This window comes from Homo sapiens, chromosome 2, assembly GCF_000001405.40.
Source record: "Homo sapiens chromosome 2, GRCh38.p14 Primary Assembly".
Taxonomy (NCBI): domain Eukaryota; kingdom Metazoa; phylum Chordata; class Mammalia; order Primates; family Hominidae; genus Homo; species Homo sapiens.
Window position 1 is genome coordinate 98,467,009 of NC_000002.12, and position 26,744 is coordinate 98,493,752.

A 26,744-nucleotide genomic window follows, 5' to 3' on the forward strand; every position below is an offset into this window, starting at 1 on the left:
CTGGAAGGTTCAAGACTGGACATCTGCATCTGGTGAGGCCTCAGGCTGCTTCTACTCGTGGTGGAAGGTGAAGGGGAGCTGTCGTGTGCTGAGCTCACATGGCGAGAGAGGAAGGAAGGGAGCGGGTGGTGGTGGTGGTGTCCCAGGCTCTTTTCACAGCCAGCTCTTGTGGGAACCAACGGAGTGAGAACTCACGCACCCTCAAAGCGGGGGGTGGTTGGGGGAGGGCATTAATGTATACATGAGGGATCTGCCCCCATGACCCAAATACTTCCCATTAGGCCCCACTTCTGACATTCGGGATTAAATTTCAGTGTGGAGTTTGGAGGGGACAAACATTGTCCTCTTGTGCCTGTGCCACACTTGCCCCTCCGTCCCCCTCATCTGCTGATGATTCATCACACTGTTAACTTGGTCTCTACATCTGTTTAAACGCTTTCTCCTTTCCCCTATTATGTTGCTGTTAAGACTGTGAAGCTGTCAGCAATGTTAGCGACACCGTCCACATGTGGGGACAACAGGTCCAGTGAACCTAGCATCATCAGTGTCCTTTGCCCTTGGAACTGAGTGGAAATTATCTTCTCAGCCTCCATGGATTTAACTTCTGTGTTCTTGATGTGAAGCTTCTTTTCCTTAAGTTAGAGTTTTTGCATATACATCCCACACATACACTTGCATTTGATTTTCTTGTCTGTATATGCACACACAACACACACTTGATTTTCTTGCACCATAATAACGTTTTTCTGATTTTAAATTAGAAAAGGACAAATGAGTTGAATAGTTATCTATTAGTTATAGATAATTATCTATTATCTAATTATTATCTAGTTCTCTATTTAATAGTTATCTATTAGTTATTAACTGTCTAATAGTTATTTATTTCTTGGGAACTTAAGTACCAACTTAGTGGTAATTTTACATGAAATGAAATGTTCTCTGGGTTCCAGATAACTTATAAATGGGCTTTTAGAGTACAGCCTGTTGGTTGAACAGGCCGTAAGTTCAGCCTCATCTTTGTCGAGTTCCACAACTAAGTTTTACAATTATTTATGAATGATAGTGCTTAGCATACTTTCCAACTCAGTGAGACCATGAACTAATTGAATTTGTAATAACCCTGAGTAAATCTTAGTGGACTAATAGTAAAACTTTGAGGTTTTACAGTAAGAAAGTGAGATCCTTAGATATACCAATTTTAATGTCTCAGTAAAGAAAACAATTTTATTGATTGATTGATTGATTGAGACAGGGTCTTGCTCTGTTGTCTAGTCTGGAGTACAGCCATGTAATCATAGCTCATTGCAGCCTTGAACTCCTGGACTTAAGTGATCCTCCCACCTCAGGGTTCTGAGTAGTTGGGAGTACAGAAATGCCTTACCATGCCTAAATTTTATTTTTTATTTTTTTGTAGGGATGGGGGTCTTGCTTTGTTACCCAGGGTGGTCTTGAACCCCTGGCCTCAAATGATCCTCTCACCTTGACCTCCCAAAGCGCTAGGATTTCAGGTATGAGCCACCATGTATGGCTGAAAACAGAAAATTTATAAGGTGCCACTAGGGGAGGGTAATAAAGGAAGGAAGGGGAATGAAATCCAAACCAAAATAAATGCTGTTTAGTGTGTGGCTGGTGGGTCGCATTTCTCATTCTAAGAACTGTGGCATTTCTTTTTGATGGTTCTGTTGATCCTGAAACCAGTGAGACTGCAGTTTGTGAAGGATGATGATAGAAGTCGATAACTCCTCATGGTTCATTGCTGGACCATGAGTTTAGCTGTAACTAGATGCAAAGCTCATGGCTGAGATTGAGAGCCAGAGAGACCCAAAGTCTCTACATCACGCCCACACTGGTACTTCCAGCCTAGGAGGCGTGGTGAATGCCTCCCACAGTGGTTGCTGAGATGGCTTTGAGCAGAGCAGAGATGAGTCAACCATGGCAGGATAAAGTGAACAGCTGGGAAAAGGGGTTTTGGGGGCTGGGGGTAAGGGGAACTGGAATAGTGTTGCAATTTTCCCCATCCTGGCTGTACCTTACCATCACCTAGGGGCTTTTGAAAAACATGGCAGCCTGCCCTCCACCCATGCTGTGCTAATTAGTGTAATCCTGGGTGGGGCCAGCATGACATTTGCCACCTTTCCCATGAGGTGATTTGGAGGTACAGCTGGGGTGGAGAGCAGTGGGCCTTAGAGGTTTAGAACCCAGCCTCCTGGCTGGGCACGGTGGCTCACGCCTGTAATCCCGGCACTTTGGGAGGCCGAGGTGGGTAGATCACGAGGTCAGGAGTTCAAGACCAGCCTGGCCAAGATGGTGAAACCCCATCTCTACTAAAAATACAAAAATTAGTCGGGTGTGGTGGCTGGCATGCGCCTGTAATCCCAGCTTCTCGGGAGGCTGAGGCAAGGAATGGCTTGAACCTGGGAGGCGGAGGTTGCAGTGAGCCGAGATCGCGCCATTGCACTCCAGCCTGGGCAACAGAGCAAGACTCCGTCTCAAAAAAAAAAAAAAGAACTTGGGCCGGGTGCGGTGGCTCATGCCTGTAATGTCAGCACTTTGAGAGGCCAAGGCAGGCAGATCACCTGAGGTCAGGAGTTCGAGGCTAGCCTGACCAACATGGAGAAACCCTGTCTCTACTAAAAATACAAAAAATTAGCCGGGCGTTGGGGCGCATCCCTGTAATCCCAGCTACTTGGGAGGCTGAGGCAGGAGAATCCCTTGAACCTGGGAGGTGGAGGTTGTGGTGAGCTGAGATCACGCCATTGCACTCCAGCCTGGGCAGCAAGAAAGAAATTCCGTCTCAAACAACAACAACAACAACAAAAAGAACTTGGCCTCCTGATGAAATAGGCCCACCTGTTTCAAATCCCCACATATTGGTGTTGAGCCAGTCTCTTAGATGCCGAGCCTCAGTCCCCTCCTTCTCTCAGGCTGTGAAGGTGAACTGTGATGTGCAGAGCTGCAGCATGTTCTGCTGTGCACCAAGGAGGGTTCCACAGTCATAGAGGCATAGTCATGACTGATGTGAAAGGGCCAACGCACGTGACCTCCTGCCCCTGTCCGTCCACATCTCACTTGGTAAAACCACAGCCCTGGTTCTGGCCACTTCTCAGCACAGTGGCCTGTGGCTGGAGAAGAACACATGACATGTTGATGAGTCTGTAAATTCATGACCACAGAGCTCCAGTGAGCCATTGGGAGTGCTTGGCACTCAGAGTGTTTCCCTGTGGTCCTAGACTGGGGAGCGGCCCCTGGATTTTAAAGAGCTCTGGACCCAGTGGTGCAGGTGGGGAGACCTGGCCCCTGGAGGCTGACCCAGTGCACGTGCAGCCCCACCTGGGGTTCCCCTGATTGGACTCCTGCCTCAGGAGGGGCATGAGACTCACTTGGCGCTGCTTCTGAGCTCTAAGTCCTTGCTCCTTAGTGGTCTGTCCCTTCCCTCCGCAGGGAGGCATGGCCCGCTGGGCTTCGGCCCCTGCAAGGAGGCCTGGTGGGGCCTTTCGCCTTCTCAGCCAGGCACTGAAGGAGCAGGAAGGGGAAGCATGATACCAGGACCACAGGAAGAAGTGGTGCTGAGTTGGGTGGTCACTTCCTTGGTGTGACCTCTGGTTAGACGTGGTTCAGGGCCATGTTGCAGGAGGAGCTGGAAGACATTTCTTTTTTTCTTTTTTTTTTTGTTTTTTGAGACGGAGTCTTGCTCTGTTGCCCAGGCTGGAGTGCAGTGGCGCGACCTCGGCTCACTGCAAGCTCCGCCTCCCGGGTTTAAGCTGTTCTCCTGCCTCAGCCTCCCGAGCAGCTGGGACTACAGGCACGCACCACCACGCCCGGCTAATTTTTGTATTTTTAGTAGAGACGGGGTTTCACCATGTTAGCCAGGCTGATCTCGAACTCCTGACCTGGTGATCCACCCACCTTGGCCTCCCAAAGTACTGGGATTACATGCGTGAGCCACCGCACCCAGCCACTGGAAGACATTTCTAAAGAAACCATCACCATCCTTCTCTGAATAGGTTTCAGTGTGGTTTTATGTTTGTTGCAACCTTGTTGACCTGTAGTTTCAGAAACCAGAATGGTTTGGCCCAAGCTTTTGATTTGAGATCACACTAAAATAGTTTTAGCTGAGGGTGTTGGAGGTGCCTCCTGTGTATATGAGTGTGCGTGTATGTGGTGTGCCTGTGCGTGCATGCATGTGTGTGTCTGTGGCTTCACTGTAGATGGCCGTTGTGAATGATGTCCTGACCTGAGTCCTGTGAGAAACACTGTTGAGTTACTTCACAGTCATTCCACACAGGAGAAAAGGATGAATGACCCTGTTGGGTTAAAAAATTGAGCTTTGAAAAGCTTTTTTCCCTTTGTACTTGGCAATCTCGCAAAGCTATCAGGAGAGAATGTGGAATTAAAATATATAGCAGGTGGGAGTATGGTTTTTTAACTTACACTTAAGGTTTCTGTGGTATCTCATCATATGTGGAATATTTCTGTTAGACCATCTGAGAATTTTAAGCTCTGGTGGATGGAAGTAAGGTTGCTTTTGAACAGAAGTCTGCCATGCTGCTGCTTCTCACAGGCTGCAGCCTCAGGTTGAGCGCTCAGGAACCAAGGTCAACGCTCAGTGTGTGTTTGCCAAGTAGACTGTGTAGATTTGAAGTGCTTAGACTGGCTGTCTGTAAGCTTTTAAAATTCTTCATTTAATAATCTATAAATGTCGAAGCCTCCCAAGACGTTGCTGGCCCTGTTAGTAAGTTTGCCGCAGCCCCCTAGCCGCCAGGAGTGCCCGAGAACCCCTGTTGGGGCTGAAGTCACAGACAGCACCGTGGAGTTCGGGACTGTAGCTCTGAAATTCTGCCACAGGCCAAGCAAACTGCCAGGGGTGTGTGGTCTGGGGTGAGGACTGATTGAAGAAGTAACAATCTTGGATGACTTTGAAAAGCTCTGGGAGTTGCCATTGACTGTGATGTTGATGCTGGGAGTGTGCTGGAGGGCCACCTGTCCTTGTCCCTCTTTTTGTGCCCCACAAGGAGGGTGTAGGAATCAAGAGTTTCAGCTGGGCATTGGTCTGCTCCAACAAGGCCTCTTTTTGATCTCCCATGTGACTCCATTTTCTCGTTCTCTCCTGTGGCTGGGCCTGTTTCTGCCTGCCGTGGAGCAGAAGTATGGTCCACATGGGTGGAGACCTACAGGGGCCAAGGAGGGCTGGGCCTTGAAAGTGATGAGCTTGAGTCCCTGTTGGGGTCCGGGGTTGGGGGAAGGGCACAAGGTACACAGCTGGGCTTGACCCAGCCCTGCTCCTGGGAGTTCCCTCAGAGAGTGCCCAGAGCAGAAGAGTCTGTGCTGTGAGCACACCCACGGCAGCGTGCACAGACTCGAGTCCCCCAGCAGATTCTCTTGGCTGCCCTGGATGGAGATAGGGTGAAACTCTGCTGGGGAGAGCACAGTCCAGTGGAGAAGCCAATCTGATGTGGACAGATGAGCTCTGTGGCAAGTGTCCAAGGAACCAGGCTGGTGGTGCAGATGTCTGTCCCCTTCTGCTGAAGTGCTCTCTCTGTCATGCAGCTGTTCTTCATGTGTCCTCTGTCCTCTGGAAGATGACTTCCTGAGGGAGAGGCCACAGCACATATGTCTGTGTCCCCTCCCCTAGCCCCAGCCCAGGGCTCACTGAGGGTCTGTGGTGGGTCTTCAAATCTGTGCATCCTCAGTAGGAAGCATCTGCAGAAAGGAGGAGTGAGGTTTGAGAACCTGATATTCTCCTCTTACAGAAGAGGGCATTGGGGCCCAGAAAGGGCAGTGACTTGCCCAGAGTCTTGCAGCTTAGCTGGGGCATGGCTGGCTGTGGAGTCCAGCCTCCAGGCCTCCCTCTCCATGAGGTGCTCTTTCCTGCTGCCCTGAGCTGCACTTCTGCTTGCCACAGTGTGGGAGTGCCCTAGGCAGGAGAAAGGAGTGTATTGTAGGTGCAGTGTAGAGTGAGGAGGGCAGTGCGGGTGCAGTGTAGAGTGAGGAGGGCAGTGTGGGTGCAGTGAAGAGTGTGGAGGGCAGTGTGGGTGCAGTGAAGAGTGAGGAGGGCAGTGTGGGTGCAGTGGAGAGTGAGGAGGGCAGTGCGGGTGCAGTGTAGAGTGAGGAGGGCAGTGTGGGTGCAGTGAAGAGTGTGGAGGGCAGTGTGGGTGCAGTGGAGAGTGAGGAGGGCAGTGTGGGTGGAGTGGAGAGAGTGGAGGGTAGTGTGGGTGCAGTGGAGAGTGTGGAGGGCAGTGTGGGTGCAGTGTAGAGTGTGGCGGGTAGTGTGGGTGGAGTGGAGAGTGTGGCGGGTAGTGCGGGTGGAGTGGAGAGTGAGGAGGGCAGTGTGGGTGGAGTGGAGAGTGAGGAGGGCAGTGTGAGGACAGTGGAGAGTGAGAAGGGCAGTGTGAGGACAGTGGAGAGTGTTGAGGGCAGTGTGAGGACAGTGGAGAGTGAGGAGGACAGTGTGGGGACAGTGGAGAGTGTTGAGGGCAGTGTGGGTGCAGTTGAGAGTGTGGAGGGCAGTGTAGGTGCAGTGTAGAGGGGCTGACACCGTGTGGTGGGCCACCTGCTTCCCCTCCTTACTCTGGGCACTGGCCATGATGGGTTACAATGTGGTCAGGGCCTCTCAGGAGGTGCCACTCAGTGAGTGACCTCACCCGGGCCAGATGGTGACCATAAGCCGGTTGCTACCTCTGGAGTCTTGGTGGGTGGGCGGATGGCACCCAGGGTCACACAGCATTAAAAAGTGGATCCAGGCCTTTAGTATCTTGATTTTCCACTTCACCAGGTGATTGCATGAAAACATGTTGGAAAGGTAATACATGTGATTGGGGAAGATAAGTTTATTTACTGTGGGACATTTTCATAACTTCTGTTTGAGGGCATTACATATCTCACATAATTACATGCTATGAAGGTATTACCTTTGGTCTCATTCAAAAATTACAAAGTGATATATCGAGAAGAATCACCTCTCCCACTTTGCCTTCCAGTTCCTCTCCCCAGAGGCAAGCAGTTTGCCCAGCATTTTTGTGAGCCCTTCGGGGGCAGTCTGCCATATACAGACATGGACGTTTTCATACCCTCTTTCTTCTGGAGTGTGCATTCGTTTGAGCAGCTTGTTTGGAAAGCTGTATATGCAGGTTGTGAAGTCACTTTTGGTTTTGATTTCAGCCTCCCATTCTTTCCCTTTCTGCATTTGTGGTATCTAATATCACTTTGACAGCCTCAAGAGCGGCCTGTGTGTGTGGGTTTTGGTGTCCATGGTGCAGTGGGCGAGGGCCACCCGCAGCCTTCCCAGTGCTTGGTGAGGCCCAAGAGTGGATTTTGTTTTTTGAAGCAGGATTCTTACACAAAAGGACATCTCTGAAGTAGTTGGGGTTGGGAGCTTGCTTTTTGCTCTATTGTGTTGTCTTCTCTATAATGTGGAATATCTTAAAGATCCAGTTCCACCTGTGCTACGAAGAGCCCTGGGTGGGATGAGCCCACGCTGGCACCACATGGCCGCTCACCCCACAGGCATTATGGGGAGAGCCAGAGCAGGTGAATGGCCTGCCCGGGCCCTCCTGCTTGGTGAGTGACAGACAAGACCCAAACCAGGCTTCTGGCCCTAGCCCTGGGCCTTTGTTGTACCTTGATGCCCTGGGAGGCAGCAGACCCATCTCACCTGGGTGCCATCACCCTGACATTTGGCAGCCTCTCTTTGCAGATTGCCATCAGCATCAGCCTAAGTGAGGTGCAGGAATTTCATAGTTACAGGTTGGTGTTTTTTAAAAAAATTCTATTTCATGGATAAAAACATCTTCAAATAAGTTTTCTTATGCACCAAACCCATCTGGGGCCCTGGGGGATACAAAAGTTATTTTTAATTAATCACTTAATAAAAGCTTATTTGGGGCTCCTGCAGTGGCTCAGCTTTGTTAAAGATGAAGAGTTAAAGATGACTTAGGCCCTTCTCCTAAGGAGCTACAGGAGACAAGGGTGTACACTGTATCAGAAGTTTTTTTTCTTTGTGGCAACAGAAAGGGCCATGTCACAATAAGCAGAGGGTATTTATTTCTGTCTGGAAGTGGGTGAAACTTTACAGGGAAATTGCTGTTTAAATTGGTCATGTAGCATGAGTACAAATTGTCAAGCAGACAAGAACAGGAGGGGCACTCTTAAGTGGAGCGGACAGCTGAGCAAAGGCATAGAGAGGGCACTTGTGAGATGCTGTCGGGAGCAGCTTGTGAGTGTGGTACTTAGGAAGCTTGGGAGACAGAGGAGGGCCAGGAGATCCATCCTGGGTGCAACTTCATGCTGCATTCTGTGTGTGCCGAGAGCCACAGAGGGGATTTAAGCCAGGGAGTTATTAGCCCATTAGATTTACAAATTAAGAGAGACCTCTAAAACCCCATGGGCGGTGTTTCAAGTTCTGAGGTCATCTTTCTTTCTCAGCTATTTAAATTTGTCTCTTGACCAACCAGGATGACAGATGAGGTAGGAGAGGGAGCATAAGCCTTGGAGGAAAGCAAAACTATGGGTAACACAGAAGTAGTCAGAATATAGTGCAAAATACATTTAATCTGGCTGAAATTACTTGTAAAATTTAGCAGGACATTGAACATTTACAGATACTTTGTTTTTTTGCTTTAGGCGTCAGTATTACATTGCATGACCAACAATGGTTGTAGTCTCCTGCTGTTTGCTGGGGCATGCTGGGCTGTGTGGGCAGGGCTGGGGTTCAGCCACCCTCTCCCTTCTACCTGCTTTTCTCACCTGGGGTGGGGGCTTTGGGAGGAGGGGAGCAGTACTACCCATAGTGGGCAGGGATGGGCCTCTGGGGCGGGGGGAGCCTGTGTGTCCACCTTGCCTGCCACTAATTTTAAATAACAGTGTGGAATGCTGTTATAATGGTTTTTATTTTAAATTTTTTTCCACAAATGCACTATCTTCTCATTTTTTTATCAAGGCTAATCTACAAATGTTTAATCCACCCACAGGTAATCCAGATTTGATGCAGAATTTTACTGAAATCAACTCCAAATAGCTTTGTGGTAACAAGTCTTTGCAATGTGATTTTGCCTATGTTTTTCTCCTTAATGAGTCAGACTTGCCACATGAAATTTTTACCATCCCAAAACTTTTTGAAGAATTTAATTAGAATGGGTACATAGGATAATGAAGATTCACATTGTAGAAACTTTTAAAATTTGAGTTTCGATTGTTCCTGGAATTTTAATTTCTCTTATTTGGTGCTAGGTGATTCCCAGTTTTAGGGCCAGGTGTTGCCAGGACACACAAGCCAGTGATAGTTTGACTAAGCTTTAGGGTTGTATATTAAAGTAATGCCTGGCTGGATGCCCAGTCAAACTAAGACATGCTAAGCTCCACATTTGAGCAGTAATGGCCCTGTTTGCTGTCCCTCGGGAGGGTTCACACCCAGGAGCTCAGAGCAGGGACTTTCTCCTCCAGGGTGGGCCCCTCGCTCTGGGGAAGAGCTCTCCTTCACCAAGCCCCCTTTAGGTATCTGGTCTCCAGCCACAGTCAGGGAGGCTCTCAGCTGGGGTGCTGGGACCCAGCCCTGGGGTGTGTGTGGGGAGGAGCCCTGCTTGGGGGAGGGGTGGCGCTCCTGGAGACCTCTCCTGGCTCAGAGGGGAGTGATGGGCATTCTGAAGCGTGTCCAGCAGGGCCCACCTCCCTCTGCGCTCATGGTTTCCACAGTGGTTTGCCTCATTCACCATCACCTGAGAATGGCCAAGATAGCCTTGCCTCCCTTCCTGTCTTCCAGAAATTCTCATGGGGCCCTCCAGCCCGTTCTCTTCCTGGCCTGTGACGATAGCGGGTTAAGTTTGTACTTTTAACAGTAATTAACCTTCTTCAAGGCCTTGTTTGCCGTTATAAGTGTTCCCTGTTCTCTGGGTACTCACAGCCCCTTCCTTGCTGTCCTTGATCCAGCGGCATGGCCTGAGTGCCTCCATCCCCCTGTTTCTGGATGGCTAGAAGAGCCTCTGGGGTATCTGATTGTCAGATGGGCTTAGCAGGAGTGGTAGTAGTAATAGTGGCAAATACTTAAGTAGCATTTTTGTGCACTGGGCACATTTAGAGGGATTAAGTCATCTGATTCTTGCAGTAACCCCATGAAGTAGATGATTCTGTAACACCCATTTCAGGAGCAGGAGACTGAGGAGCAGAAGGTGAAATGAGTTCTCCCTGGGGACGTGTAGCGTGGCGGGTGAGCGGCAGTTGGGGTTGGAGCCCGGATGGTCTGGCTCTGGGGCCATGCACAGCATGCTGTGTGCAGCTCCCCCGCCGTCCCGTCTCCCTGAGCTGCCTGCTTCAGGCACGCTTCTTGGCTCTTTGTCCTGAATGGTGTGGTGGTACAGCTTGGTCTTCCTGCCTGGTAGGGAAACCATAGCCATGGGAGTCCTAGTACTGAGCAAGTGACTGTTCCTGACCCGTTTCCAGATTCTAGGGGCAGCTTTACAGCCTTTCTCTGAGATACTTGGACACCATGTTACCAGACCACAGCCTAACAACAGAGGATGAACCAGAGCCTCAATGTCGGCGAGTCTTGGGCCATTTTGGCTGTTGATTGCCTCTCTCCTGCCCTGTATCTCCAGGAACTGTCAACGTTGGTCTTGTAGAAACTGCTCTCTCTTTGTGAGTGAACAAGACCATGGCTGTCTCAGTCCCTCCGTTAGTGACTATCCTTGTTCAACCCAGAGTCCAGGAGTCTGATGAACAGAGGCTTTCTCCCTCTACCTCACCCTGCCTTTTACCTCTCCCTGCCCTGTGTGGGTCTTGCCCAGGAGACAGCGGTTGGATGAGGGAGGAGAGGCTAAGGGCCCCTCTAATGTGGACAGCCTGGGCCCTGCTGTGGGAAGAGAGCCACATGGCATGGATTGGAAATGGAGAGGGCAGAATTTGAGTCAGGAGGACCACCAGCAGCCGTGCTAGCTCTTGAGGCCTAGGTCTTCTGGCCTTTAAAATGGGACTGGAGTGGGAGGTGGATTCAGTGCGAGTGCAGTCCCTGCGGCCTACAACCTACTGTTATTGTGCGGTGCTGGTCTCCAAACTCCAGGTCTATTTTGTAGCCTATTGAGGAACTGCCTCTGATCTCCCTAAAATAGGATGTGCTATTTTGGACACTGCCGTAGGTGGGAGGGATGTGTGTTTAAAGCTAAAATAGAGCGCACTTTAATTTGCGGGTGTTTCCTTTTTCTTTCTCAGCCACACTGTGTTTAAGTCACAGTGTCCTCCCTCCCACCCAGGAGCACAGCCTCAGGCAGGCCCTGCTCTTGGTGGAGGCCTCGTCATGACTGATGAGGGAGGTGGCCACCAGAGAGGAGGATTCCTGTCGCTTGGGACCAGGACTGCTCCAAGTCCAGGGAGCTTTTACAAGGCTCTGTTCCTGGATGGCTTCTCTGCCGATCTGAGGTCCAGGGTGTGAGAAGCTGAGCCAGCCTTGCAGTCCAGCTGAGTGCCTCTCCACCAGACCTGCGCTGCTGTTAGAGTCAAGGCGAGGCAGGGCTGTGGGGGTAGGGGTGGCAGAGCACACCCCTGATCCCTAGTTAGTGGAGTTAACTCTGGGCACTCCCTCCCCCGACTTTCTTTGCAACAAATCATGGTGATCTCTTTTGACCTTTTTGATGGTTACCAATGTGGCTGTGAAGAGGGTCCCTGCCCCAGCTGGGGAGAATAGGGTGAATGGGAGTAGGAAGGTTGAGGGGGTGAGGGTAGAAGGGTGTGATGGATTTCCGAGAAGGTTGCAGGTATGTGTCTGTCCTATTCTGTCCTGACTTACTCTGCATTCAGTTCTAGCTGAGCATGAATGCAGCCCGCACCCATGACTTTCTGTGGTGGTGCTATTTTTCTGTTTTTTGAAAAGAAAGAGGTCCGGTTTTTTTGTAGATTGTTAGGACTTAACTGGAAATAATTGTGTAAGTCTTCAGGCATCTTTCGAAGATGGCAGGCTAGAGATAGCTACTCCAACTTGAATGCCTAGCAGTCACCTAGAAGACTTGTTCAATGCAGATACTGGGCCCTACCCACAGGGAGTCAGCCTTCATAGGTCGGGCACTTCCTCCCGGCTCCTGGGTGGTACTGCTACTGCCAGTTCACAGACCACACTTCCAGTTGCCCTAGAGTGCTTGTTCCTGTTCCACTCCCCACTCAAGATATTATTCGCTGATTTTTATCACCTTCCCCAAACTAGGCTACTTATTTTGGTGCTAATTGGTGGCACTTCTAATTTTAGAAGTGTGGGGAGGTGCTCCTGTCCCCATTTGGCTGCAGTGGTGCTGATGGGGGGTATCTGCTGTGCCTTGGGTGGGAACTTCTCCTGTGTGTGCTTCGTGAGATATCCCGAGGCTACCCTACTTTGATGAGTTGAGCAAGGTGTCTTAGAAGCCAGGCGCTGACTGCTCTATCATAATTAGAAGACAGTTAGCAATAAATACATAGTCAGTGGCATCTCTGCATGGGGATGGCTGGTTTGAAGCAGCTTGCTCCAGCCATGGGAAACAGAGTTTTGACCCTACTATTTATGAACTGACAGTGTGGGCTGCATCAGGATCTTTCCAGGTATGCCAGGAGGCACAGAACCCACGTATAACCTGCAGCCCACAGTTTCTGTGACACAGAAAGTGTGGTCAGGTGCTGGGAAATCATTGTCTCATAGATAAAACATCTGACACGCACCAGCTTTTCTGAAACAACTAATGGTTGCAAATGGAATTCGGGGTACACAGGATAGCAACAGATTTCTTCCTGTCCTTGAAGAAAACTGTCTCCTTTGTCCCTGTTTGACCAACTTCGATTGAGCTGGAGCCCTTTGTGCCTGGCCCTGGGCTGTCCCTTCTGTCAGGGTCTCTGTCTGGTACAGGGGTCAGCTCTCCCTTGGGCTGTGCACTTACCTAAAACTGCCTCCCAGACACCTAGTTTGTGACTTCCTAGAAAGCCTGAGACAGGAAGCTATTTTCTTAAGGCTTTAGAAACTGCCCCCAAACAGCACAGAATGGCAGGGTCCTGCCCCCAGGGAGTGCTGCTTGAGGTCTGTTTCCTGCAGTCAGGGCTTCCAGCCAGCTTGCTGTCCTTGCCAGCACCTCCTCTGCTGCCCGCTAGACACGGAGCCTCTGGCTGACACCCTCCCTGCCAGCCCCAGAGGCCTGCCTTCTCAGCCTCTGCTGAAACTAAAGCTTTTTTTCTGTTTCTGTAGGGCATTGGGTGGAGCCTTGCCAGGGGCTCCTGGTTCTGACTGTCTTGGGTGGGTGGGGAACTCAGCCCTGAGAGGTTGGCTCACTGAGCATTTACCATATGCTGGGCATTGGGCCAGATGTCTGTCTAGGATCAGTTTATTAATCCCCAGCTACCTGATGAGGTAATTATTATTCATTTCCATTTTGCAGAGGAGGGAAGGGATGCTCAGAGAGAGGTGGAGTGACTTACCAGATTTTTATCTGGTGCCCTATCATATGCTCTTACGACACAGAGCAGCTTTTTGCTGTAGAAAGGACTGTCGTCATTTTACCTGTGTTAGGAACATCATCACTGACTGTGGTTCCCCTGCACTGACATTCTGGGCATTAAGGGCTGAGTCTGGGCTCTTTCTCCTATGGGTGTCTGTCCTCTCACTTGGCCCCAGGCCTTGGTGACCCTCTGTGCACTGAAGGAGTAAATGACTGAGGTGGCCAGCTAGCTCCCGTGCATTTGCACACATGGTCCCTCACTCCTGGCCCCCATCCCTTGCCAGGCAGAATGTGCCCGTCTCCAGTCCCTTGCATTGCTGGCAGCCTCAGACCGGAGAGCACTGAATCTTCCACTAGCCTGTCTTCTTGCCAGCTGCAGCCCCAGGGCGCGTGTGTCCGTCTCCGCAGCCAAACTCCCCCTGTGCTGGCCTGTGGAGGGTGAGTGGGGGGCAGGGTGCCGCACACTCTGGACCCTTCCAGCCCCAGGAAGGAGTTGTGGTGCTGCACGTGCTCCATTCTCACATGCTTCTCAGGCTGCAGGCTGTGCATTACCAGTGTGCAGTTTAGGAAACTGAGGCCCAAAGAGAGCAAAGCAGCACCTGGGGACTGACCTTGAGTTACACAGGTGTGCTTCAAGTTCTTCTGCTAGTTACCTTTCAATGCCAACACTGGGGAGGGGGTGTCCTAACAAAACATAATTTAATCAGAGCACTGTGAACTTTTCCTGCATCTGACACGTCCCTCTCAAGGTGGAGGGTGTCACCACCTGCTGCCCATTGTAATCCCTCACCCCACAGAGAGGCCAGGAAGTGAACAGGAGACTTGGAGGAATGTGGACCTGGTGTGATCCTGTGTGGAGCAAGGATGTCTTCCTCTGAAAATTCCCTGGGGGGAAAGAAATGGCATACATTTCCTATACCAGTGGGGGCTTGGTCCCTTGGCACGCATAAATCGACCACTCTTGGCAGCCAGAACCCTCGCTCCTCCAGTTTTATTCTGGTTGCCTGTGGCTCTTGGATAATCCTGTGGTCTCTTTGGGGTGCTGGTTTCTTTAGGGAGCTGCATTTGGCTTAAGGCTGGCATATGTTTTAGCTATCTGAAGTGGTTTTAGATATAAAGATTCAGTGACAGAATTCTCTATATAAAATGATTATATCACATTGAGCCTCAGTAACAGATTAATGGGGAAGGAAGGATTTATTATGTTTCCAAGTGATCCAATGTGAGCAAGCAGGCTTTGTACCAGGGGAGAATTCTAAGTGCTTGTCCTCCCTGTGGAATTGTGTTTTGCAGAATCCCAGGAAGACAGGGAGGCTGTGACAGCCTGTAAATGTGATGCTCAGCTGGCCTTGAGTGTCAGCTAGCTTGCTGGTCTTCAGGGTGCTCCCTGTCCACGCACCACCTCTGGCTGGGCTTTCCGTTCTCTAGTGAAAGGTTTTCTCAGCAGCACCTTTGCCTCTCCTTCTCCCTTCATTACGAGTTTGCCATGTTGGAGTTGGATTGTTTGATGTCTTGTCCTGGCTTAACAACTCAACACTGTGTACTTTAAAAGCTCCAAGTTTAGGCTCACACCTGTAATCCCAGTTTTTTGGGAAGCTGCAGTGGGAGGATCACTTGAGGCAAGGAGTTTGAGACCAGTTTAGTTGACAGAGTAAGATCCTGTCTTTAAAATAAATATAATTTTTTAAACTTGAAATTTAAGCAGAAGCCACGTTAAAGTGGCACAGCAGGTGATGTGAGGGACCCTGTTGGGCCACCTTGCTGTAAAATGTTTTCTGTATCCTGCTTTTTTCCTCTTTGCCTTTACACCTGTGGTTCCCACATTATTGGGCTGAGACTCTGGAGATCTGGGTAAAATCCCATCCTAGAGGGACAGCAGGTTAAATCACTTTTCCTATCTTGGCCAGCTGTGGTTTAGCTTATTGGCACCAGTCAGAGCAGGGCCTCAAGGGATGTTAGGATTGGTTGCACCTGGTTCAGAATATGGGGCCCTGCAAGGAGGGCAGTCTGAAGAAGAGTGGGATTAAAAACGAAAGCAGCCAACAGAAAGGTGGGCACCTAGAGGCAGGTGCAACTGGCTGTCCTGGAAAGCAGAGAGGGGCAGCTGTGGGCCTCTGTGCAATGGCCCCTCCACTTGTCACACCTGCCAGAATGGAGGTGTCTCCCCAGTGGGCCTGTCACAGGGAGGCCAGCGACCAGCCAGTCAGTGCTGACAGTAGGCAAGTGTGGTTGACATCCAGGGATGAGCCTCTGAGCAACCCTGGGATGTGATGCAAAAAGATATATGTGTCCTCTTGCATTTAAGAGAAATGCAAAGCTTTTGATCTAAGCTTACACTTGAAAAAATTATACTTACATTGCTTTTTTGAAAATAAGTGAAAGCATAATAGAGGTTGAACATCCCTGATCTGAAAATCCAAAATTTGAAGTACTTCCAAACCTGACACTTTTTTAGCACTGACATGACCTTCAGAGGAAATGCTTATTGGAGCATTTTGGATTTCAGATTTTTGGATTAGGTGTGCTGAATCTGTACGTATATAATGCAAATATTTCAAAATCTTAAAAAAATTCCAAACCCTAACCACTTCTGGTGTCAAGTATTTCAGATAAGGGATACTCAACCTGTGCTAATAATGATTTTGGCATGTACTCTATAATAATAAAATGTTTATTAGGCAGTCCTTTATGTGAAAAATGATAGGAATAACAATACAGTGAATCGCAACTCAGCTTTAGACATTTTCATGACCAATACACTTGAAACTACATATGCCTTCCCACCTTCTCTCTAGGTTACCATTACCCCAAATTTGCTTTTCATTTTTTCCATTCATCGAATTCTTTGTGTTTTGTGACCCAGTCAGTCCTACTAGTTTTCGTGCTAGGAGACAGGAAGCAAGCATTGCTTAGTTTCACTCTTGTGATGCTTGTGGTCAGAAACAGGTATTTCTTGAAACTGGGCTTGTGGCTGCAGGGCTGCCCCAGGCGGGGCAGAGATGGTCAAGTGCAAGGTGGGGCTGCTGTGGGGCCAAGTCCTGATGGATCATGTTCCCCCCCGGTCTTGTCTTTCTAATGTCTTGCTGCATGTGGGATCTGTCGCCACTGCCAGTGGGAAGGGCAGGCTAGTCTGTGTCCATCTTTGTTGCAGAGTTGGCTTCCTTCAGGCAGGTTCATCCTACACTGAATGTCCCTGTGGTCCATGCCTCAAAACACCTCATCATTAGTATTACTTCTGAGCCCTGCCTAAACATAGCAGCGTGGACCAGCTCTCAGTCCTTTCTCTTCCTGTCCCTACCCCACCTTCCTGTTGGCTACTCTGCTCCCATGGATGGTTGAGAGGGAGACCCTCTTCTGTGTGGCTAGCCAAGGTTGCACATTGGCTGCACCCAACAGATGGACTGCATCTGTAGTCAGTCTAGTGAAGTCCGGTCTTCCTCTCCACCCTCTTGCCTGAGCCTCCACCTTTGCATAAAGAAGCTCCTGCACCCCCATCCCTCCTTGCAGATGCCCCTGCCCACACCCCATCTCTTCACATAACTGAAAGATGGCTGGTTCTCCCAGAAGAGCCAGAGGCCTCTAAATGGAGTGAGGTCCTTTCTCTGCATGTCCTGTCTCTCTCCAGAGGTGGGCTTGGAATCTCTTTCGCTTTGACCGGTGACTACCATCCCCTCCACTCCTGTCCCTCCCCTGCATCACTCCATGTTACCCCTGGCCCCAGAGGTCTCTGAGGTCCCATCACCTTCTGATGACTCTGTCTGCAGGGATGAGTCTGTTGTTACTGAGCCGCTAGCCTTCAGCTTCCTCTCCCATGGTCATTCCCGAGGCTGCCCACTCCCCCTAGTTGCCCACAAGCCTTATGAACTCCCATCTCCGTTCCTCCTGTGTGGCCTGTTCTGGTTCCCTCTCCTCCCTGTCAGGCTCACTGTATCTTTGTTTCCCATGATCCTGCAGTCAGGGAAGACCAAGCCCCAGTTACTTTCCTGATGAGCTCAAAGTCCAGAATGCAGTCACGTGACTGGGGTGGGAAGCCATGCACAGGGCCCTGAGAGGGTGTGAGGGATTCGAGGCAGCCTGTGGAAGGAGAGCCCTTCCAGCTGAGATGAATTCAGCCCCAGAGAGGCACTAAACAACCTAAGGATGGTACAGTTCCCCAGTTATTAAAATTTTGCATACTTACTATAAAGGGTTTAGTAAAACATAGTCTAGAGGAAGAAAACCAGAAAAGCATGATGTGTCCATCTCCCAGTGCTTAACATTTTTATACGTGTTCTTTTCCTCTCTCCCACTCCGCGTGAGTGCTTCTATGTCTTTATATTGGTAGATCTTACTTAGAATCTGACTTTTTCGCTTGTCAAGTTGTCATAAAACTGATTTCCATTTCAAATGTCTATATGGTATTCACATATGACGGAGCCATTATTTACCATTTCCCTGACAGGCTTGTAGGCTGCTATTTAATCTTTCAATTTATGGTATAAAATCCTTTATAGTACAGGTAATGCTGCAGTGAGCATCCTTGTCTGAGATCCCACCGAGAGTAGTGGCTTCAGTCTTCCAATCAGTGGCTTTTCTCTCACTTGGCTGGCCTCTTGAAGCGAACAGAGTGTGTGTGTGTCCTGGTAGCTGAGTAAACTCCAGCTCCGCACATCTGCTTGGCGGGGCGGTTGGGATCTAAATGAGTGTGACCTCAGCTTTTGTGGTAGTGGAGACCATCCTGATCATGCAGGGTCCTTGCTGCTTGCAGGCCCGTGGCTGCTGAAGAGCTGAAGAAATGTTACTTCTTTGTAAGAAACATTTTAGACTGAAATAAAAACCTGTTATAATCATGCGGTCTGGTTGCAGCGTGAAATATGTTCACAGTCTAAGATTCAGGTGAAAAGGCAGGATGCCAAATCTTGTGTACTTGCTGATCTTATCTGTGTAGAATATCCAAGTCAGAACTGATTTTAGTTAAGGTATCTGTGGGGGGTGGGGTTTCCCTCTCTATATTTTCCAAGCCTGCAGTAAGAGAACTATGGCAATCATCTTTCTTTTTAACATATCCAGCTTACTGCCCTAGGTTGGCCACAGTCAGATTTCTTGAAAGCCCCTAGGGCTGGGCGCAGGTGTCTGGTTGTCCCTCCGAGACTCAGGGCTCACTCTCGCTTCGGGAACACTAATGCAACTCTTCTGGTGGTGAGAACCCAGCTGAGAGTTCCTTTATTTTGTTGATTTCAGGGTGTAGGTATTTAAATATTTGAAAGTATTTTGATTTTTAAATGAGATGTGTGGGAACTTTTTTGATTCATCACCCTTGGAATGGTTACAGAGTTTTGTTTTTATAATACAAAACTTTCTTGAGGTGAATCTGTGACTGAGAAAATAGACATCTATTTGAAATATCGTGTCTAAAGTACTAAAATATTGCTGGTTGCTAACCACTTAAATTGAGTATTTTTCTTCATAAACATTAAGTTTTATTGAAAGAGTTGCTGTGATTTCCAGACACTCTTCTTTACTGCTTGTTCAAATAAGGGGAGGGGGCCTCCAGATGAAAAGGTTAAACTAGAGTCAGGCCTGCTTGAAAGTTTTGAGTCAGGACCTTCAGTGGGAGATTTGCCAGAGTCCCACACAGTAGGGCACAGGCTACTGCTTCCTTGGGTCTCTGGGAGGAGGTTTCTCCTCTCTATAATGGAAAGTTGGATTTCTAGCTTTTTTTCTGGATACTTCATGGGGTACTGTAATTGTGTTGACTAATTGATGCTCTTTCCTGGAGTCTCACTCATTAATTGGGCCCATTTCTATGGAAGGCACAAATATTGTAATGTAAGAATCAGATATATGCTGGTGATGCTGTGTGAAGCAGCAGAGCTGCTGTGAACTCTCTGGGGTCCCAAAAGTCTAGGAAGTTTGGAAAATCCTCTTCCTTGTCTAGGCCTGTGCTTCCCTGTCCTCTCTGTTTGCTTTGCTTCCTCTGTCTTTCTCCTTTCCTTGCTCTTGGTTATCTTCTGAAAGATGAGGCTTCACTTTTCCACACCTTCCTGACCCTCCCTGTCCCCAAAGCAGCGATGCATCTGAAATGGCCTAAAAAGGCGTGGAAACCCAGGGGTTCCTGTTCTGGCAGAAGTTCCTCAGTTGCCCACAGGGCCTGAGGTCTGGGGTGAGGAACACCTGGTCCAGATCAAAGAGCTTTTAGGGTGTGGGGCTGGATTTTTGCATACAGGTTACATCAGGAGTCCAGGAGTAAAATTAATTCTTAGAAGGCCAGATTACATAAAAGGCAAGGCAGAGAGGGTTCTGCAAACACTAACCGCCTCTTGGGTGTCTGATGGTACTCCTCTCATGGCCTCAGCCTGGAGGGAGCTGATGTGGGAGGAATCTGTGGGCCCTGACCTGGAATGCTGCACAGTGGCCTCTGCCAGTGACAGGGGCGGGCAAGGCTGAGTCTAGAAGCAAATGCCAGCCCACAAATGTGCAGTGATTGGCGCCTACAGAGGCCAGGGATAGCTAAGTACTGTGGAGATATAAAATGTGGCTTACCATCCTTGCTCTTAAAAGAAAAAAGGGGAAAAAAAGCAAAGACTAGTTGATTCAGAGCTAAGGTTGCTTGTTAAATAAACTTTTAAATTTTAGAATAGTTTTAGATATACAGAAAAGTTGCAAAGAGTGCCTGAAGTTCTCCCATATGATACCTCCTGCCAGGCTGTTGTTAACATGTTAATCACCATGGTACATTGTAGTGTGTTAATTGTAACCAAAATTGATACATTATTCACCAAATTCCATGTTTTATTCACATTTCCCTAGTTTTTAACCTAATTGTCTTTTTCTGTTCTGGGATTCTATCCAGGATACCATGTTATGTGTATTTGTCATATCTCCCTAGGCTCCTTGTGGTTGTGAGTTTCTCAGAATTTCCTTGTTTTTGATGACCTTGACAGTGTTTAGAGACAGAATCAATTTTTATTTTATCTTATTTATTTATTTTTTTTGAGACAAGGTCTTGCTATGTTGCCTACACTGGTCTCAAACTCTTGGACTCAAGCAATTAGCCTGCCTCAGCCTCCCAAAGTGCTGGGATTTCAGGCGTGAGCCACCATGCCTGGCCTGTCTTATTTATTTAGTCATTTATATCAATATGGACTCAATGGTTTTTTTGTTGTTGTTGTTATTTGGGTTATAATTGTCAAAGTTGAGTCAAATATAGAGACAATTCTCTGTTTTATTTGGGAAGCAAGAATTGCAGTTCTGGGCATATACACAGACTGGATGGTCTTCCATATGTCTGAAGAACAAAGAAGGTTGGAGGTTTTATAAAAAGCAGAAATGTTACCCATTGTTTTGAGAGACAGTTCATTGGTACTAGTAATGTTTCGAGGAGCTGGCAAGCTCTGATTGGTGAGTGTAAAACTATTCTTAGACTCACAGCAGCTTGTTTCAGTAGCTATTAGATAAAACTGGTTTCAGGTCACAATAGGCAGTTTCAGCAGCTGGACTTGCGGAGAATTACCTTCCTGTGGCAGTGTTACGTGCCCAGGGTGCTCTGTCCCTGCTTGGCTTCTTGATTCTGTTTTAGTTGGATATGACAGGAATAACCCAATCCATATGATCAACTTTTATGTAATCCAGTACTAGGGTATTCATTGTGTTGCTCAGATTGTTCCAGCTTTGGCCACTGGGGGCTCTTTCAGTTAGCTCGTGTTCCTCTGACATACCTCCATTATTGTGGGTTGTTTGATTTTTGAGTACTTCCTTATTGGCACTGCAAGATACTCCAGGCTCATCTTGTGTATCTCCTATCCCAGCCCTAGAATCACCCATTTCTCCACAGAACCCTCATCCCTTTTATTGGAGTGTAGTCTTAGAAATCAAGATATGGGTGCCAAGTGGCTAAAGTTATTGTAATCTCAATTTATGTGTACTCAGCTGAGCAAAAGCAAAGCATCCAAATGGCAGCGGCAGCAAGAACTACCTGAGGATTTCTCTCCATTTGCCAGTTCTGTGTTTCCTTCTTGGGCTTTACCCACACAGTTTTCTAGTTGCAGACCTGTTGTGCACCTCATTCGGAGTTCTGTACCCGAAATTGTCTCTGTCACGGTGATGTCTTTATGCACAGGCACTCACTCTGAAGTCACTCACCCTCTCACCAGCTCATGGTGGAGATGCAGTAAAAAGATCTTGAATAAATGAGTTCTGCTAGTTCCTCTCTGAGTCCTGTAGTGGCTCTAGGTCAAAAGCAGTAAAACCTAACCAGAGGAAAAAACCAGAGGGGAAAATATTTTGGACACACGAGAAGCTATGTAGACAGGAAGCAAGTGGGAGCTCCTTGGAGAGGGGAGTTGCTTGAGACTGAAGTTCAGGGAAAGGACCAGGAGACTGGGTTGGTACTGGTTCCTGCGGGCTGGAGGGGGTGGAGTAGGGAGTGTTGTGAAAGTTTCAAGCACAGAGGACTGAATGGAAGCCTCACAATGCAACCTAAGGACTTTGGATTCTTGCTTTTGAGTACATGCACTGTGTGTGTGTGTGTGTGTGTGTGTGTGTGTGTGTGTGTGTGTGTGTGTAAATGGTGTAGTTTGTTGGCTGTCAGCCTTACTAGGAGGCTGGTTTGGAGCCTGTTGCCTTAGCTCTGTGGGGTGATGATGGGAATAGTGAAAAAGAGGGTGACAAAAGCAGAGAGTCTCAAAGAGGGGACAGAACTCAGTGACTGACCAGTTTGGTTGATGGTTGGAAAGAGGTGTCAGATACATCTGAGCTCCCAAGAATGGTGGTACCTGGAAGGGAGAGAAATCAGGAGGAGCCAGTTCTGAAGGGAATGTGGTCTCGGGTCTCAGTGGATACCAGGAGTTCAGGGGCGGGTGACTGGGTAACTTGGAAATACAGGACTGGGCCTTAGGAGTGTCATTAGGGCCAGGCCAAGAGGGGTTTTGGCATCATCTCCTGGATGGCCTTAGTGGATAAAACTGACAAGGCTGCAGAGTGGAGGGATATGCCAACACCCAGCCCTGGCTTGAACCTGTCCCTGTCCCTTGATGTTGGGAAGCAGAGATTCCCTGTCATGTCAGATGACTCAGAGGGGCCCTAGGATGCTGAGGCACCAAGTGAGGGCTGTCATTTACACACCGTCTGTCGATAACATTGGTACCAAGCAGTATAGGGTCTTTTATCCTGGAGATTCTGAACCTCTGTGATGGACCCCTGAGGTCCCCTCTACTATGACAGTCCCATTCTGAGGGGAATTTGGCCTTAATGCTTCCTCTTTGGCATAGCAAACTCTGCTTCCTCTTCTTCTGGAGAGGGTGCACAGAAATGTTTTCTCTAGTCTGTAACTATGGAGAGGTAATTTGTTTCTGGGAGGGAGACGAAGTAGGGCACCTTTAACTATTTGATCTGAGTTTTTGTCCTTGAATCATGTGGAATTACACATAGGGTTTATATACCCCCCCACCCCCCACCCCATGCAGCTGCAAGATTCTATCTGCCTTTTCTTCTCCTTCCATATGGGATTGACATCCCTGTAGGATCCAAGTGCTTGTGGAGTGAGGAGGACACTTTAGAAGGGCCTAGGGTGATGGAGCTAATGCAGAACTCCTTGTAACCTCTTAAGGTGTAGTGGCTGGCACTGAGGTTGGGGCTGTGACCATGGTGAGAGGTGCTCCGGGTCTGGGTGTGCCTCTCAGTCTTGTAGATGGCTTGGGCATGAGGGAGGGAGGGACTGACAGGAAGCAGGAAGACTCCATGTGTTTGGCATGGCCGCTTACTTGGAGAATGGCAGTGCCATTGCTGAGATGGAGAAGACCGGGGGCAGAGCAGGCTGGACACAGCAACAGCGAGCATCCCAGAAAATTGGGCATCACTTGAAGGGCTGGGTGTCTCATCCGGTTTCCTTTTTCTGAGCATGCTGCATATCACATGGGAATCTCTACAAGCAGAGGAGGAGAAGGTGGTTTCAGAAACAGCCCTTGGCCCTGGAGAAAGGCATCTTGTGTGAAGACGAAGGTGCCCTGTGGGAGGAGCTGTGTCCATCCCTCAGCGGTCTCCTCCATTGGGCCTCACAGAGGTACCTCAAGTCCCTGCACCTGTGGTATCATGGTTATATATGGAGATGGAACCCGGGGTTTCAGGTGAGGGAGTTTGACACTTCACTGGTTCATATGTGACATACTCCAGAGGTATTTGCGACCTGGTTTAGTCCTGACCCCTTTATTGTTCTCGTGGAGATACTTTCCTTCCTCTCTTCTTCTGTTTGAAACTAGGACTCCACATCTTGCCCTAGAATTGCCACCCACCTGTGTGACGCCTGGGCCTCCGAGTAGATGAGGCCAGAATCTCCAACAGTCACCTGCAGCTGGTGGGGATGGAGATCCTCTGCCTGCCTCCGGCCAAACAACAGCTTGAGTTTAATCAGTCCTTTGGCTGTCATAACAAGTCATGAGGGGCTTTTGTTTGTTTTCCAAAATTATTATTTTACAACATCTGGACTCTTTCTGCTTTGAAAACAAAACGAAAACCCTTTCCAAAGAAAATAAACATTTTAATGATAGCATTTTAATTTAAAAAATTACAGTAGAAAAAAATAAAATGAGGTTACTTTTTTAAATGTTGACAGAGAAAAAAATTCAAAACCCAAACTGGGTCAGACAGACAATAGTAGGAACAACAAGTTCTGCCTATGTCGGCTTGCAGCAGAGACCCAGTTAATCAAAAACAAATTGTATTTCCAAAAAGGGGGCGGAGGAGGAGCTTTGTGCACTTCCTTAGGATTTTCACATCGTGGGTAGTAACATAGTCAGATGGCAGATTTTTCTGTTTGGATTAAAGTTTCTATTTTCAGCAACCACTTCCCTGAAAGCATGCTGCTCCCTGACCCGAGGGTCTCATGAGCAGCCATCCTGGACGCAGCGCCACGTAGGGCCTGGGGAGCAGAAAGTCAGCTGAGTGCCCTGAGTCCCCATTTACACCCCCAGGCCCTCACCATTGGCTCTTCTTTTTAAAGCATTTACTCATGCTCTCGTCTGGATGATGTGGTTTCCAGGCCTCCAACCAGGAAGAAGCCGCACGTTTCCCTTGACAGGAAAATTGAAAGCTGATTACCTGGTGGCAAGTGAGGAAGGTGAGCCCATCACAGTGAATAGTTTGAAAACTGAAAAGGTGCAGCAAGCCAGGTGCGTTTAATAAGATCTGCAGTCCTGTGCATCCCAAGAGAAGGCACTTTGTACACAGTCACCTACCTGAGTCATGTTCATTTTCGTCCCCATATCAGAGATGAGCAGACAATGGAGCGCAGGGAAATGACCCTTAGGGGCACACAGTCATGGGCAGGGTTGGATCTGTACAGCATTTTAACTGTGTTGTGATTCTCTAGTTCAGAATTGTCTTTAAAATCAGGGAAGAATATACAGATGCTCCTCGACTTAACGATGGGGCTGCATCCCCACAAACTCATAAGTTCAAAATATCATATGTCACAAGTGCATTTTTTTTTTTGAGACAGAATCTTGCTCTGTCACCTGGGCTAGAGTACAGTGGCGCGATCTCAGCTCACTGCAGCCTCTGCCCCCTGGGCTCAAGTGATTCTCATGCCTCAGCCTCTTGAATAGCTGGGATTATAGGCATGAACCACCATGCCCAGCTAATTTTTGTATTTTCAGTAGTGATGGGGTTTCACCATATTGGCCAGGCTGATCTCGAACACTGACCTCACATGATCCGCGCGCCTCAGCCTCCCAAACTGCTGGGATTACCGGTGTGAGCCACCGACAACTGCATTTTTTACTTCTGATGTTTTGGTCTTATGATAGGTTTTTTGGGATGTAACACCATTGTAAGTTGAGAAGCATACTGAGTGAATTTCACACCATCCTAAAGTCGAAAAATCATTGAACTCTTGTAAGTTGGGGACTGTCTGTAGTACATGATAGAAAAATTTTCTCCTAGCATGGTTTGCTTTTTATGAAGTTTCTACCCAAGTTGTATCTCACTGGCCAGGAGCTGCTGCTAGAGATTTTCCTACTATAACATCTCTCTTGTCTGAAGGGGTTGGCTCTATTGATGTGCTACCCCTGGGAGGGCCAATGCATTAGGCCTTTACTCATTCCTGTCTTACTCATAGAATCGATCCTGCTTTCAGCTGGCTAGGAGGAGATCTCAAAGGGGTGAGAGAGCGGGGCTCTAGAGACCTGGGAGCCCTTTAGGGATGACTGGATTGGTGTGATCATGAAGGCAAGCACACTCAGGTCCCAGGGGGAGGTGAAAGCAGGAGCTGGCTCTAGAAAGGGTGCCCATGGGGCCTGTACAGGAAGCATAACTCTTGGACTGTCTTGTATCAGTTCGATATCTGAGGGACTCACTGGGAAAACAGAGCCTAGCCAGGACTCCTGTCCAGAGTGATAGCAGCTATGGTTTGCCAAGTACTGACTTTGGATCTTGCAGGCTATTGAGAATTCCCATTTAATAGATAAGGAGCCTGGGGCTGGAGGGGTCCTGGAGTCCAGTTCAGTTCTGCAGCACCTCCTACATGACAGAGCCAGCATTGGAGCCAGTGTCTCTGTTTTCTCCCCTGATATTATGGGCAATGGTTTTATCCTGGAGCTTCAGCCTGAAAGACCCTCCACCAGCTGCCCATCAGGTGGACGTGGTTGGCTGGTGGCGTCACATTTCCTCCTTAATTTGGATTCTGAGAACAGTCTTCTGTCCTTGAAGATTGGACAACACTTGGGGACTTCCAAGAACATGTTGGTGACTCCCTTTGCCCCTATGCTGGGTTCCCTGAGCCCTGTGTTTTTTGGAAAGGGTGAGCCCTTTTTTTGGATGTTGGTTGTGAGTGGGAACTGAGCCCCCTACGTGTCCAGGGAGCTACTTCGAGGGAGATGTGGCTTGTCTGCCTACCCCGACTTCCTGGTGACTGATGATCACACACCTCTCATGATACTAAGTTTTCCTCTTATTTTCAGCTTATTTACTAATCAGGATATATGTCTGGGTGACTGTTATTTTTCTATTTCTATTTTTTTTTTTTTTTTTTGAGACAGGGTTTCCCTCTGTCATCCATGCTGCAGCCTCAACCTCCCAGGCTCGAGATCCACTCACTTCAGCCTCCCAAGTAGCTGGGACTACAGGTGTGCACCTCCACGCCTGGCTAATTTTTGTATTTTTTTGTAGAGACAGGGTTTCGCTATGTTGCCCAGGCTGGTCTTAAACTTATGAGCTCAAGCAGTCTGCCTGCCTTGGCTTCCCAAAGTGCTGGGATTACAGCCTCAGCCCCAAAATAATGTCTTTTTAAAAGCACGGTTTAATTCTATCTGGGGAGGCAGAACTCTACATGGAGTGTAG

General features: G+C 48.6%; 1 protein-coding gene across 42 annotated transcripts in view, besides 3 other annotated features; it reads left to right on the forward strand.

The window, feature by feature from the left end:
* INPP4A (inositol polyphosphate-4-phosphatase type I A) overlaps positions 1–26,744 on the forward strand; it is a 149,806-nt gene that overhangs the window by 22,422 nt on the left and 100,640 nt on the right. The window lies entirely within an intron of this gene.
* Positions 1,782–1,911: a silencer, noted in NCBI's record as "silent region_11801". NCBI's record gives its function as "represses an Ori minimal core promoter by ATAC-STARR-seq in GM12878 lymphoblastoid cells {active_cell/tissue: GM12878}" and the evidence as "EXISTENCE:reporter gene assay evidence [ECO:0000049][PMID:35858748]".
* Positions 16,221–16,340: an enhancer, noted in NCBI's record as "active region_16264". NCBI's record gives its function as "activates an Ori minimal core promoter by ATAC-STARR-seq in GM12878 lymphoblastoid cells {active_cell/tissue: GM12878}" and the evidence as "EXISTENCE:reporter gene assay evidence [ECO:0000049][PMID:35858748]".
* Positions 20,975–21,054: an enhancer, noted in NCBI's record as "active region_16265". NCBI's record gives its function as "activates an Ori minimal core promoter by ATAC-STARR-seq in GM12878 lymphoblastoid cells {active_cell/tissue: GM12878}" and the evidence as "EXISTENCE:reporter gene assay evidence [ECO:0000049][PMID:35858748]".